Source organism: Homo sapiens, chromosome 19 (genome assembly GCF_000001405.40).
Source record: "Homo sapiens chromosome 19, GRCh38.p14 Primary Assembly".
Lineage (NCBI taxonomy): Eukaryota > Metazoa > Chordata > Mammalia > Primates > Hominidae > Homo > Homo sapiens.
The window spans coordinates 5,606,389-5,620,397 of NC_000019.10; the positions used below are offsets into that span (position 1 = coordinate 5,606,389).

Here is a 14,009-nt window from a genome sequence, read left to right on the forward strand (position 1 = left end):
GCCAAGGCAGGTAGATCACTTGAGGCCAGGTGTTCAAAACCAGCCTGGGCAACACAGAGAAACCACATCTGTACCAAAAATTTTAAAAATTAGCTGGGTGTAGTGGTACATGCCTGTGGTCTCAGCTACTCAGGAGGCTGAGGTGAGAGGATCGCTTGAGCCCGGGAGCTCGAGGCTGCAGTGAGCACCACTGTACTCCAGCCTGGGTGACACAGTGAGATCCTGTCTCTAAGGGAAAACAAAACAAAACAAAAAAACCAGAAGAAACTTAAAAGCAGCCACAGAAAAAGAGAGAGAAAAGACACAAATTGGTAACTGAAGGAACAAAGATTAAATTAACCTAGAATTCTATACCCAGTGAAAATTTATTTCAAAATGAAGACAAAGTAAAGACTTTTTCTGACATGCAAAAGAAACAAGAACGTATCACCAGCAAACCTGCACTACAGGAAACATTCAATTCCTTCAGGAGGGAGGAAGATGATCTCCGATGGGAACTTGGATATACAACAAAAAGCAACGAAGAGCACCTGGTGAGGTGAACATGATTTTTTCCTGTCATTTCTGGGTCTCTTTAAAATATAACTGTTTGGCTGGGCGTGGTGGCTCACGCCTGTAATCTCAGCACTTTGGGAGGCCGAGGTGGGAGGATCACGAGGTCAGGAGATCAAGACCATCCTGACTAACACAGTGAAACCCCATCTCTACTTAAAATACAAAAAATTAGCCAGGCCTGGTGGCGGGCACCTGTAGTTCCAGCTACTTGGGAGGCTGAGGCAGGAGAATGGCATGAACCCAGGAGGCAGAGCTTGCAGTGAGCCGAGATCGCGCCACTGCACTCCAGCCTAGGCGACAGAGCGAGACTCCGTCTCAAAAACAAACAAAAACAAAAACAAAAACAAAAAAAAACACAACTGTTCAAAGCAAAAAAGCCAAACCACAACAAGTCAAAGCCAATAAAATATTGGGTGACTTCTTAAAGAGAAGTAAACCGTATGACAATAACATCACAAAGATCGACGGGAGGGGAAATGCAAGTATATTCCCACAGAGTTCTTGCACTACGCTGAAACCAACAGAGCACCCCTTGCAGACAGACTGTAAGGGAAGATGTGTACTGTAATCCTACAGTAAACCACAATGACACAGAGTTAGAGCAAATAAGCCATCAGTCATAAAAAGGACTCGACCCACAAGAAGGCAGATAAATGGGAAAAAGAGATCAATAAACAAACATGAACAGAAAATAGAGAACAAGACAGTAGATCTAACGCCAAGCCCACCACCACTGGCGCGCAGAGTAAACATTTCCCCGGGACACAGGAGTCCTGGTCTCTGCCCTATCTCTGACTCAGGGCATCAACCTAAGCAAGGCATTCCCCGTCTCTGGACCTCATGGCCCCAACTGTGAAATGACAAGGTGGAACCCACAAGCTTGAGGTTCCCATCTGACGTCCTTGGTTTTGACCACACAAATGGAGGAGTCAAGGCTCTGCCTGAATCTGTCCAGGGCCAAAGGGACAGAAGACTCTCCTGAGAGAAACACAGATGCCACTTCCCATTCTACCTTCCCATCAAATTAATCATCCTTACAAGTATATCTCTTCTGATGACAGACAAAACCCAAATGAGAGCAGGCACCATACTAAGCTTGTATGTCCCTATCCCTGAGCTATGCCATCCGCCCTGGAGGCTCTGCATACTTCAGTCAAGTAGCTGAGTGGTGTCCTGCCCCTCTGGCCTTCCTACGTCCTTCTGTTTTTGTCCAGAGCTGAGCCCCACAGGTAAGGCCAACTCTGTCACTCACGCCTCAGCTGAATGTCACTTCTTCAGCGAGCTCTGCTGAAGCTGCCTCCCAAATCTAAACACGGCCTCCCCAACACACTGACGGCGTGCTCTAATATTCCTTAATACGCTCATCACAACACATCATATGTGTTTATTTCTTAAATGGTCTTTTTCCCGCCAGACTAAAAAATCTGTGATGACAGTGACCACGTATGTTTACCTCTGCTTAATCATCAGTGTCCGAGTGAAGTCAACAAAGTAACTGAATAAACAGGTTATTCATGGCTATAAGAATTTCCTAAGCCCTTGCTGAACACACAGACTGTTCAGAGAAAAATTGAACAGCACGCTTTCTCCGGGTCCTGTCCGCTTCTTAAGCAATGAAACATTAACCAACACCTGATCGGGTGACACAGACCTAGACAAAGGAACGGCTTCTGTAGCCAGAAAACTGTGTCAGACAGGGCCCACTCTGCCTGGAATCAGGGCACCCTCCAGACACTAAATGGTCCGAACCTTGTCCCTTGGAAGCCACTCCCCAGAGGCACCCAGGAGACCAGGGCAGTGCCAATTGCTTACCAGAAGACTCTTGGCTAGGCGCGGTGGCTCACGCCTGTAATCCCAGCATTTTGGGAGGCCAAGCAGGCAGATCACATAGGTCAGGAGTTGGAGACCAGTCTGGCCAACATGGCGAAACCCCATCTCTACTGAAAATACAAAAATTAGCCAGGCATGGTGGTGGGTGCCTGTAATCCCAGCTACTCGAGAAGCTAAGGCACGAGAATCACTTGAACCTGGGAGGGAGGCGGAGGCTGCAGTGAGCCAAGATCACACCACTGCACTTCAGCCTGGGCAACAGAGCGAGACGCAGTCTCAAAAAAAAAAAAAAAAAAAAAAAGAACAACAAACAAACAAAAAAAGAAGACTCTTAATTAATTTCAAACAGTGGAATCATTTTAAATTGTCCTCACCTTCCTTTGGAAAGCTGCTGAATTGTACTATTTTTCTCCCACCCCCATGAGCAGCATCTTAGTGATTTATTTTTGAACCACGATCATGTTCTAGTTATGAGACTATATACTTAAAATGCTAAATGATATGAAAGTCAATTATTCACTTCATTCTTTTTTTTTTTTTTTTTTTTTATGACATAGTCTCGCTCTGTTACCCAGGCTGGAGTGCAGTGGCACAATCTTGGCTCACTGCAACCTCTGCCTCCTGGGTTCAAGTGATTCTCCCACCTCAGCTTCCCGAGTAGCTGCGACTACAGGCACAGAACACCACGGCTGGCTGATTTTTGTATTTTTAGCAGAGACAGGGTTTCGCCATGTTGGCCAGGCTGGTCTCCAACTCCTGACTTTAGGTGATACGCCCGCCTCGGCCTCCCAAATTATTCTTAAGGGAAAAATCTCATCATGTAAGCTTTAAGTTTTGCACAAGACAAAAGACCACCAGTCTCTTTGAGACCAGTTAGAAAGAACCCCAAGAACATTGAGAGAGAAGCTGTTTATACAGCTGTTCTGAGCACTGTTGTGATATGACCAACCACCTGCCCTGCTCCGCACCCTAGTTACTGTGAGTCAGGAAACAAGGTGCACTGCACAAGACTGGGCGAGCTTCGCTGCTGTCGTTCCATTTTTTAGTAAACACAACATCTTGCTATGTTGCCCAGGCTGGTCTTGAACTCCTGGGCTCAAGCAATCCTCCTGCCTCAGCCTCCCAAACTGCTGGGATTATAGACGTGAACCACCGTGCCCAGCAGAGCTTCCTTTTTAACTCTGAATCACAGTGGATGGTATGAGGCAAGGGAAGGCATACCTTCCCATACTTGCTGAAAAGGTTCTTGAGATCCGTAGCGCGTGTTGTGGAGGACAGCCCGCTGACCCACAGGTTCCGACCAGAACCGCTGCCGACCCGACCTGGCACGAGAGGGAGATTCTTAGGCATCACCCCAAGGCCTAACAGGAAGCACAACCATTCTTAAGACCGCAGCCCTCTTTAAAAACCCTAACGACGCCCAATCCCAACTGCTGACTTAAGAATTTAACGCACACACACATGCCAACACACAGAAGGCTGAAAATCTGGACAGCAAAAACTGAGTTTCCTTACTCAAGGAATAATCATGCCCATGTCAGTTATGAACTGAAATGTCTTTTGATGATCAGATCTCATCCAAGACGGCAGTCTCTAAAATCCTTGAAACAGTCTTCAATGAGCAGAATTATTCCTTTCTTGTAATGTGCTTTTCACCATCCCATAGATGACAACCACAAGAGAAACATAAAATGCAGGTGCTTGCGAACTTCTAAAACTAGTCTCTCAAGAAACCATTAGGTGGTTGATTCCGGTAACCCATAACAAAACAAATTACTGAATCCAAAGTGTGTATATCTCCAGGCCCCTCCTCCCAAAATAAGGGAACCATACCTGGCTCCCTACCACGTTAAATTAAATCATACCTTTTTCATCTTTAATGATTGGCTTTATATCTTTTTCTTCCTTAAAAGAGCTAGAGACAAAAGTTAATGTTACTCATACAGGAAAAAAACGAAAGAGAACAAAACTAAAAATATGATTATGTGCTAAAACTGAATACCTACCAGAAAATTAGTCTGAAATAAAATTTTAACAGACACCTCTGCAAGCTTATATTGGAAAATCTGACCCCAAAAATACAATGTCAGATTTGTAAAAGTCAATTCGATTTAGCTGAAGATAACAATTAACAATTTAAGAACACAACCATGGTAGGTTGAGAAAAAGAAAAGGAATTGAATCACCCATTAAAAACACACAAAGAGAAACGAAACATTCTTTAGAAGCAAAACTACAATTTCGTCAGTCTGGCTGGCCAATTGCAGAAAAAAACAGCTTATGTGTGTCATTACATGACCAATGAAAAGGAGATAGCGTCTGGTCTAAAACTGAGAAAAAACAAACCTCATTTTCTGATCAGCGCCCTCACTGGTTGAGGACTCTTTAGGAGCCGGAGGGACTTCATTACAAGCGTCAAAATCAAACTTCCTCCCGTCTTCTTTGCTATCTCTGGCTTCTGGGCTTGGGGCTTCCGTGGGTGCTTCTGCGAGCTCCTCGCTAGAGGCCTCCGCGAGCTCGGAGGCCGCACTACTCTGCTCAACTGCCGGCTCTAGCCCTACAGGCTCACAGTCCGTCCTCTCGCCATCGCCTGGCTGCTCCGCGGGCTCCCTTTTCACTACCGCTAACAGGCTGTCTGCCTTGCTCGACTGAGCGTGTGCTGTTGACTCGCTGGCCAAATCTAAATCACCCTCTTCCGGATGGGCGCTGTCAAATAGGTCCTCTTCCTCCGCAAGCTTTCTGTCTGGCCCCACGCTACTTGTGTCCTGTGCAAATGGCTGCTCCAGCTCGGAACTTTCTTCTTTTACTGGCTCAGATTTACAAGTTTCCCCCAAAATGTCGAGTATTTTCTCATTTTCTACGGATTTAACAGGAATAGAATGGCACAAGGTTTAATTACCAGGGAAATAAAGCAATCACAAATGTGGAACTGGCACGGCTGCCACACTAACACGAAGAGAACTGCTAGCTACACAGAGATTGGAAAACCCGCGGGTACACAAAGTTATACTGGTTACACTACCTGCGCCGCGACCGCCTCTAGGTAAGCCTCTACGCTACACGGAAGAGAAAAGGCCCCCACAGATTTAAACACCTACAACCACGCGGCTGGTTCTCAATAGTCTTCTTCGAGTTTTTGTTCAAGTCTGGGTCTTCTGACTGATTTTCCAATGTCCAAGGTGCTGAACCGAATGCAATCACCATTCAATGACAGCTCAACTTCCAAATTTCTTTGAATTTCTTTTAACAGAACAATCCAATATGAAAATCAGAATCTCTTCTGACGGTGGGAGATAAACGCAGTCCGGAAGGGGAATAATATGTTGAAAATTTTCACGGAGAAACTCTGTTTCCTCTTCTGGAATCCAGTCACTTCTCAGGTGGTAAGTGCCCTGACAACAGCTTTATCCTGCCTTAACTGCGTTAATCAAAATGACTGCAGCAAAATATCACAAGATCTGTTTCATGTGTAGAAACACATGGAGGAATCACGGGGACGGGGGAATTAAATGCCACTCTACGTGGTTAGACATGAAAAGAATCACTACTACATTGCACCAAATGTATTTGACCTCAAGAAGCCAGAATGGCTCTTCCACAGATCTGGTGATACGAATGGGTTTCCAATCTCTGATCCTTGTATGATCTGGATTGTCCACCATTAGAGCAATTTACAAGATCATAACACAGCTTAAAATATAGACAGCTTTAAAATAATAGTGTGAAAACTTTCAAACCATAACTGTCGTGTTTCTCTTATCAGTACCTGGCTCCAAAAGGGATTCTTCAATGTCCTATTTAAAAAAGAAAAAGCAAATCCACAAGTCACTTTAAACACGGGGCACATACATTTCACCAGTAAATATGGCTTTCAATCATCTGTGAATAAATGCCTGTTTCCACAAAACTTTCTTGTCTCCAAAAAATGTATTCCATCCTACAATAACCTGATGAAAACCAGCTCATTTTAACAGTTTCCCTGGTAACAGCAGGTCCCTAGTGATAACAGTCTGTCCCATTCTCCCGAGTTTGGGCCCTGCCCTGCCATGCCACCCACCCCATGACCAAGCTGACCTAGTGGCTGCTGCAGCTGGCAAACACCCCCTTTGTCAGAGAAGAGGTCACAGTGGATTTAAGAAAAAAATACTTCTCCCAACATAAACTGATTTGTAACTGAAACCTGTCATAACAAAATGATCTCTCTACTCTGCTGAAAACCTTTTCCGACATCTGTCTCACTTAGGACAATAGGTCCAATCCTTCTGGTGGCCCAGACTCAGCGAGGCGGGCCCAGCTGCTCTGCAACACCTCTGGCTTCTATCCAACCCTGTGTGCTCCCCTCTCTCTTTTGCATCAGAGACACCACCCAAACTTTCTGCTCCAAATTCTTCTTTCCCTCTTCAACCTATCCGTCAGACCTCTGGGAAGAGTTCCAGGCACTTATGAAGTCCAACCACCAGAACTGCTCCCTCATCACACTTCTTTCTCCCTTCTGGTTACATATTTGGTTTGATCCCACTGCCCCTGCTAGATGGCCAGCCCTGAGACTGTTTCTCTTCTGCTAACCTCTTAACCCCAGCATCCAGCACAGTATCCAGTCATTTCCATACACATACACACTGCTCTTTCATTATGGAAAATCAACCACTCGATTAACATTTCCAGCGATGCAGAACCAGATGGTAACTTACCGGAGTTACTTTGAAGTTCAACGATGAAGTTTCCAAAGTGTTCTTAAATCCTTCCCCATCCACCTGAAAAACAAAATGGAAGATGACTTCGTGGAGGCTGGAGCTATGAAAACCAAGGCTGACACCTCGCTTAGGCAACTTGTGTGTCTATTTCCCTCACGGCACCTTTTGCCATCTGCAAGTCTACTGTTGGGTCATTCAGTTCAGCACCTGCCTCTCCGCCAGAACACACACTCCACGACTCTGCTCCACCAGCGTCTCTGGCAGTGGCCTGCAGGTGGGTATGCCCTGTCTGTACTGGGTGAATGAACGAATGAATTTCCCAGGCAGTTTCTAAGTACTGGTGATTACCACATACCCCTCCAATCACAGGATTTCCAAAGCAGAACTCAAAATGATAAAATGCACCCCTCCAATTTCACCTGGTAGCAATACTCTTAAGGTAACACTAACCGGGCACTTTCTCCTAGCCTACTTTATTCATTCATTCATTCACTCATTCATTTGAGACGGAGTGTCACTCCTTTTGCCCAGGCTGGAGTGCAATGGCGCCATCTCGGCTCATTGCAACCTCCACCTCCTGGGTTCAAGCAATTCTCCTGCCTCAGCCTCCCGAGGAGCTAGGATTACAGGCATGCACCACCACGCCCGGCTAATTTTTTGTATGTTTTAGTAGAGACGGGGTTTCACCATGTCCAGGCTGGTCTTGAACTCCTGACCTCAGGTGATCCGCCCACCTCAGCCTCCCGGAGTGTTGGGATTACAGGTGTGAGCCACCGCGCCTGGCCCGCCTAGCCTACTTTATTAAAAACAAACATCTAACTTGGTCAATTTCTCTCTTTACTACATGCCAAACAAAAGAAAAACTGTTAACACCAAGTTTTACTAAATCTGAAGCTCTTTTTAAGTGAACTACAAAAACAGCACTCCCAAATATTTTCTTTTTTCCTTTTCTCGATTTGAACTCATGACCTGGGATGCCTCCATTAACTGAGAAGTACACACTCTGAAAACAATAAGCACACAGCAGTACCAGACTGAGAAAGGCGGCTAACCAGTTGCTCAGTGCTGCCCTAGGTCAAAGGATGGTAAATTTGGAGGCAATGACTTTTGACCGTAAGGTTTAAGGTTCAGTCCTATGGAGGCATTTCCACCCCCAAGCTGAAAGCTGCAATGCCTTAAGGAAACAAAACAACCTACTGGGCACGTGACATCAGTCAGAGTACAATGAAGATCAGCTCGAAGACACTGACAGCTTGTGATATTTGAACAGCCTCACCAGAGAGCTCTACGCCAAAACACTAGAAGTGAAAAGCTGGGAAAGCCCTAACAGAGCAAAGTTCCTCCTTTACATACAAGGATGCTCACAGTCAGTCCTTTTGGGGAGCAGGGTTGATACTTGTCTTCACTGTACTTTACATCTTTTAATGTAACTGCTTAACCTTGCTTAAAACAACATTAACAGGCTAGGCGTGGTGACTCACCACTATAATCCCAGCACTTTGGGAGGCCGAGGCAGGCAGATCACTTGAGGTCAGGAGTTCGAGACCAGCTCAGCCAACATGATGAAACCCTATCTCTACCAAAAATATAAAAAATTAGTCAAGTGGCTGGGCGCAGTGGCTCAAGCCTGTAATCCCAGCACTTTGGGAGGCCAAGGCGGGCAGATCACGACGTCAGGAGATGGAGACCATCATGGCCAACATGGTGAAACCCCATCTCTACTAAAAATATAAAAAAATCAGCTGGGCGTGGTGGCGCATGCCTCTGGTCCCAGCTCCTCAGGAGGCTGAGGCAGGAGAATTGCTTGAATCAGGGAGGCGGAGGTTGCAGTGAGCCATAATCTTGCCACTGCACTCCAGCCTGGGTGACTGAGAGAGACTCTGTCTCAAAAACAAACAAACAAACAAAACACAACATTAGGAGGAATATCTACATGATGAGATTAGAAACCATTTTTGAGCTGGGCACGGTGGACCACACCTATAATCCCAGCACTCTGGGAGGCTGAGGCGGGAGGATTGCTTGAGCTCAGGGGTTCAAGATCAACCTGGGTAACCTAGTGAGATCCCGCCTCTAAAAAAAAAAAAATTTTTTTTTAATTAGCTGGGCGTGGTGGTTCACTGTGTAGTCTCAGTTATGCAGGGGGATTGCTTGAACCTGGGAGGCTGAGGCTGCAGTGAATTATGATGACCCCACTGCACTCCAGCCTGCACAACAGAGCAAGACCCTGTCTCTAAATAAATAAACCATCTTTGCTTCTTAAAACTGTATTTTAAAAGGAAAAAACTAAATGGGCACTGTGGCCTGTGCCAATAAGCCCAGGTAGTCAGGAGGATCGCTGGAGCCCAAGAGTTCAAGACCGGCCTGGGTAACAGTTGAGACCTCATCTCAGAAAAGAAAAATCTTTTATGTCAGAGCTTTCTATTTTATGACTCACCACATGCTTCGAATTATAAAAACACTCCCCAGTGCTACAGAAAAGCTATCTATGAGTAAATCCCTGAGCTACACAGCGTTTAAATGGACATGGTTTAACACCAGGGTGTAGAAGCAGAACTGTGTGTTCATGGCGGTTTAGCTGTGTTCTCCCTCACACGAGCAGCACGCGAGCACCAGGTGCCTCGGGGCTATGGGCACATCCTGCCGTGTCTCCAAGTTACCTACAGCATGCTCTGGGGGCTGAGCCGGGAGCTGTCTCAGCTGTGCAGCCACGTATTCTTTACTATCACAAAAGGAATCGAGAAGGCCGTCCGTGCCATCCTCCCCAAAATCTGGAGCACTGCTATTCGCCACTTCAGTTTCGTCTAGCACACTCATGTCCATCATGCCCATATTCTGCAGGTTCTCCAGACTTGCTTCCATGTCCTCCTGTAAAGAGGAAGAAGAATCGTTAACGACCACCTGGACCAGGACAGGGAGCTGCTGCTTGTCATCTCTACCCTGACATCACTTACCTGCCCGTCTCTGGAATCGTCTTCCAGGCCATTATCTTCTGTGCCTTCCTCCTCCATCTTCAGTCCTAATTACAGAATAATTGTTCAATCAGATAACACTCAAGTTCTACCTCATAATTAGTTTATGCAGAATAGATTTCAATCTTAGAACAGAACACATTACAAGATAAACTATAAGTCTCCCCTCTCCTGTCACACGTAATTTTGTCTCAATTTGTTTTCTTTTTTTTTTTTTTTTTTTTTTTTTTGAGATGGAGTCTCCCTGTGTCACCCAGGCTGGAGTGCAGCGGCACAATCTCGGCTCACTGCAATCTCCACCTCCTGGGTTCAAGCGATTCTCCTGCCTCAGCCTCCTCAGCAGCTGGGACTACAGGCGTGCATCACCATGCCCAGCTTATTTTTGTATTTTTAGTAGAGATGGGGTTTCACCATATTGGCCAGGCTGGTCTCAAACTCCTGACCTCGTGATCCACCAGCCTCGGTCTCCCAAAGTGCTGGGATTACAGGCATGAGCCATGGTGCCCGGCCTCAATTGGTGTTCTAAGTAAGCCATCAACAGGGAGATGAAAATCTAGGATTCCTCTTAGATTCAGAGTACTCTGATTTTCCACAAAATATCTAAAAGTTTCCAAATATTTCAAAAACACTCCAAACCTAAGAAAAAAAATCACAAAAAAATGAGCAAAGGATAAAAACAGGCATTTTCAACAAACCAACAAAAAAATGCAATACCCATCTAGTAACCAAAGAACTGCAACATAAAATAACATATTGAGTTAGTGATTTGCTGGCTCTCCCTATATTCCACCCATTTCAAGTAGGTCTTTGTCATTTTTTAGCTCAAGAACTTTTTTTTTTCCCCCAAGGCAAAAAGGCAAAGGCTGCCATAAAGTCGAGAATCATCCTGGGTTTTGTGACCACAAAATAACTATTTGATAGAATTCTGCTAGGAATTGCAAAAGGAGGCCAGAGGAGTTCAAGAGTGGAAACCTTGAGAAGAAACTTGAGGCTCTATATGTATCAAAAACCTTACAAATGTGCATACCCTTTGTTCCAGGAATTTGAGTCTTAGGATATCTGACAAGGAGTTCAAAACATAGATATCTGTCCTATTATACCTGTTAAACACCCAAAAGGGAAACAAATTACAGCATATTTTCATTCAGATATGGTTCACAACCGGGGGGAATGGCTGGCAATGTCTGGAGACATTGTTAGTGGTCATGACCTGGGGGAACGCCATTAGCATCAGTAGCTAGTGATGCTGGTCACGACCCTGCAATGCACAGGATACTCCCCAACCCCAGAGAATTCTTCGGCCCAAATTGTCAACAGTGCCAATGCTGAGAAACCCTGTGGGACACCATCCAATGTCTCACAATATTTAAAGAATGTATGCTTTTAAAGAATATTTAATGAAACAGAAAAAATGCCCACAGTGTAGGCACAGTGGTTCACGCCTGTAATCCCAGCATTTTGGGAGGCTAAGGCAGGTGGCTCGCTTGAGCCTAGGAATTAAGAGACAAGTTCGGGCAACAAAGTGAGACCCCCATCTCCACCAAAAATACAAAAATTAGCCAGGCATGGTGTTATGTACCTGTACTCTGAATTACCGGTGAGAATGAGGTGGGAGGATGCTCCGAGCCTGAGAGCTTGAGGCTGCCACGATCATGCCACTGCCCTCCGCTCTGGGCAACAGAGTAAGACCGAGTCTCTCTAACATACACACCGATAAAGAAAAATCAAACAGAAAAAAATACATACTTTCCCGTCTCTACTAAAAATAGAAAAACAGCCGGACGTGGTGGCGGGCGCCTGTAGTCTCAGCTACTCGGGAGGCTGAGGCAGGAGAATGGCCTGAAGCCGGGAGGCGGAGCTTGCAGTGAGCCGAGATTGCACCACTGTACTCCAGCCTGGGCAACAGAGCGAGACTCCGTCTCAAAAAAAAAAGAAAGAAAATTAAACATAAAAAACCTGCAGGGTCTACACCTCAAGAGTCTCACTCACCACTATTATCAATAATCACTCAAGAAATGCAGTTTAATTGCATGTCTCGCAACGTGAGCTTTTTCCAGTCTATCATTTAAGACGCCTAACAACGCTAGCAGGTTTTATTATCTGCATTTGACACGAGAATTTGGTTGAGCTCCAAAGCTGGCACTCTAAAACTCAGCTGTCCCACTTCGCATTATATCTAAACACAGCATATCCTTTTGAAATACGTTGTCTAAAAATGTTTGGTAATTGCACCCAATTTCTAGGCCCCTAAATAGTAGCCTGCAGTGCCCACATAGGCCGGAAATAGGAGAAATGCTGACCAAAAAGCATCACAGAAAAGCTAATGTGGCGCAGACAGGCGACGCCCCAATCCCCGGCACCTGGCATTGGCCAACGAAAAGCTGCCGCTGCTGGGGACACAGATGTAAGAAAATCCAACTTTAATCCCACATGGCATCTAAAACTTAAATTTTTAATCCAAGTTTTATTTTTTCCAAACCCACCTACAATGTTGCCTAGGACTCCTAATCTTGGTGAAGACCCTTACTCTGATTTATAATGAGGACACTTTTCCCTCAACAAGTTTGGCTACTTCAGTTTTTGCAAGGAAGCAGTTACTGGTGAGTTCCCAGAATGAGTCCAACTTTGGACTCAACTGAACACTGCTGCATAGTGCTTGAAACGAAAATTAACTGGTGAATTCCTCCTGATCTAACAGTTGTATGTAATCACAGGCCCTAACTGCAACCACAAAGTCCTAAGGCTCTTGTGCTTTATCCATTAGCCACGTGCCCCGACACCTCTAGAGAACATCACCAGCTCAGGATGGAAGATGAGGCCTGCAGGGCCTGAGCACCACCTGAAGACCTGGGCTCTCTCTGGGCTTGGTTACTTCTCTGAAAAAGGAATGGGAAGGGATCAGAAGCCCTTCTAACCCTCACTAGAGCTGAGGCTACAAAAGTCCTTTTTATAGCAACAGAAGAACTTTATCATCCAAGCTTTCCTGACAAAACACTAACTCCAAGTAGTTTTGAATCCACCTAAGCTTTAATCTAGACATTCAGGCAGGTCTTCAAAGCACTCAGCTAAAGTTTAGTTTTTCTAATGATGCAAAGATCATTAGAAATGATCCCTGCTAGGCCGGGCACAGTGGCTCATGCCTCTAATCCCAGCACTTTGGGAGGCCCAGGCGGGTGGATCACCTGAGGTGAGGAGTTCGAGACCAGCCTGGCCAACATGGATGGTGAAACCACGTTTCTACTAAAAATATAAAAAAGTAGCTGGGCGTGGCGACGGGCACCTGTAATCGCAGCTACTCAGGAGGCTGAGGCACAAGAATCACTTGAACCCGGGAGGCGGAGGTTGCAGTGAGCCAAGACCGCACCACTGCACTCCAGCCTGGGCAACAACAGCAAAACTCCATCGCAAAAAAAAAAAAAAAATCCCTGTTAAATTCCTGCTAAAAGCCAAGGATATTTTGAGTAGTAAGTCTTGAACTTTACAGTTTTAAAATGAGCACCTACATAAAAAACTTTTAAACTTTATTGTTAAGCAGTTTTCCCAACCACTAAAAAAAGAAAATTCACATCATGCATAAGTTAACACCTAAACAGAAGAGATAAACTATATTTCCTGCGTAGACCAGTCTCTCACATTCTGAATGTGCTCAGGCTGGGCCTTCTAGGTGAAATACGGACACTCACAAGAACAGCAAAAACGCATCCATGTGTCAAAATTAAACTTTAACTTAAAGCTCTTATGCAACCTAACTAAAAGATTTAATCTTTCAAACTACATGCACATGTTTTAAACAGTTAATGTGTTATGAAACACATTAAGAAGAAAAAGCTATTAAAAAAATGAAATTGTTAAAAATGCTACAATTTCTTTCTACTTTCTAAGCACTGATCCTCCACTGCCTGAATTTAGCACTTTTCCAAGAAAACAGGCCCCCTGCACAGGAAACCTAAATTATATT

General features: G+C 45.1%; 1 protein-coding gene across 2 annotated transcripts in view, besides 2 other annotated features; it reads right to left on the reverse strand.

The window, feature by feature from the left end:
• SAFB2 (scaffold attachment factor B2) overlaps window positions 1-14,009 on the reverse strand; it is a 35,778-nt gene that overhangs the window by 19,390 nt on the left and 2,379 nt on the right. For both annotated transcript variants that reach the window (NM_014649.3, XM_011528449.4), the window contains exons 3-9: window positions 10,034-10,098; window positions 9,744-9,947; window positions 7,077-7,139; window positions 6,152-6,179; window positions 4,732-5,242; window positions 4,251-4,300; window positions 3,607-3,707 (exon numbers count right to left, since the gene is read on the reverse strand). In NM_014649.3, coding sequence (NP_055464.1) covers window positions 3,607-3,707; window positions 4,251-4,300; window positions 4,732-5,242; window positions 6,152-6,179; window positions 7,077-7,139; window positions 9,744-9,947; window positions 10,034-10,098 — 1,022 coding nt within the window. The remainder of the gene's footprint in view (window positions 1-3,606; window positions 3,708-4,250; window positions 4,301-4,731; window positions 5,243-6,151; window positions 6,180-7,076; window positions 7,140-9,743; window positions 9,948-10,033; window positions 10,099-14,009) is intronic.
• Window positions 5,422-6,621: an enhancer, noted in NCBI's record as "CDK7 strongly-dependent group 2 enhancer chr19:5611821-5613020 (GRCh37/hg19 assembly coordinates)". NCBI's record gives its function as "activates an origin of replication core promoter dependent on BRD2, BRD4, P300/CBP, MED14 and CDK7 cofactors, with strong dependence on CDK7, by STARR-seq in HCT116 cells {active_cell/tissue: HCT116}" and the evidence as "EXISTENCE:reporter gene assay evidence [ECO:0000049][PMID:35650434]".
• Window positions 10,594-10,763: an enhancer, noted in NCBI's record as "experimental_51744 CRE fragment used in MPRA reporter constructs". NCBI's record gives its function as "activates a minimal promoter by MPRAs in K562 erythroleukemia cells, with activity observed for both the introgressed and non-introgressed 19:5617078 variant alleles {active_cell/tissue: K562}" and the evidence as "EXISTENCE:reporter gene assay evidence [ECO:0000049][PMID:34662402]".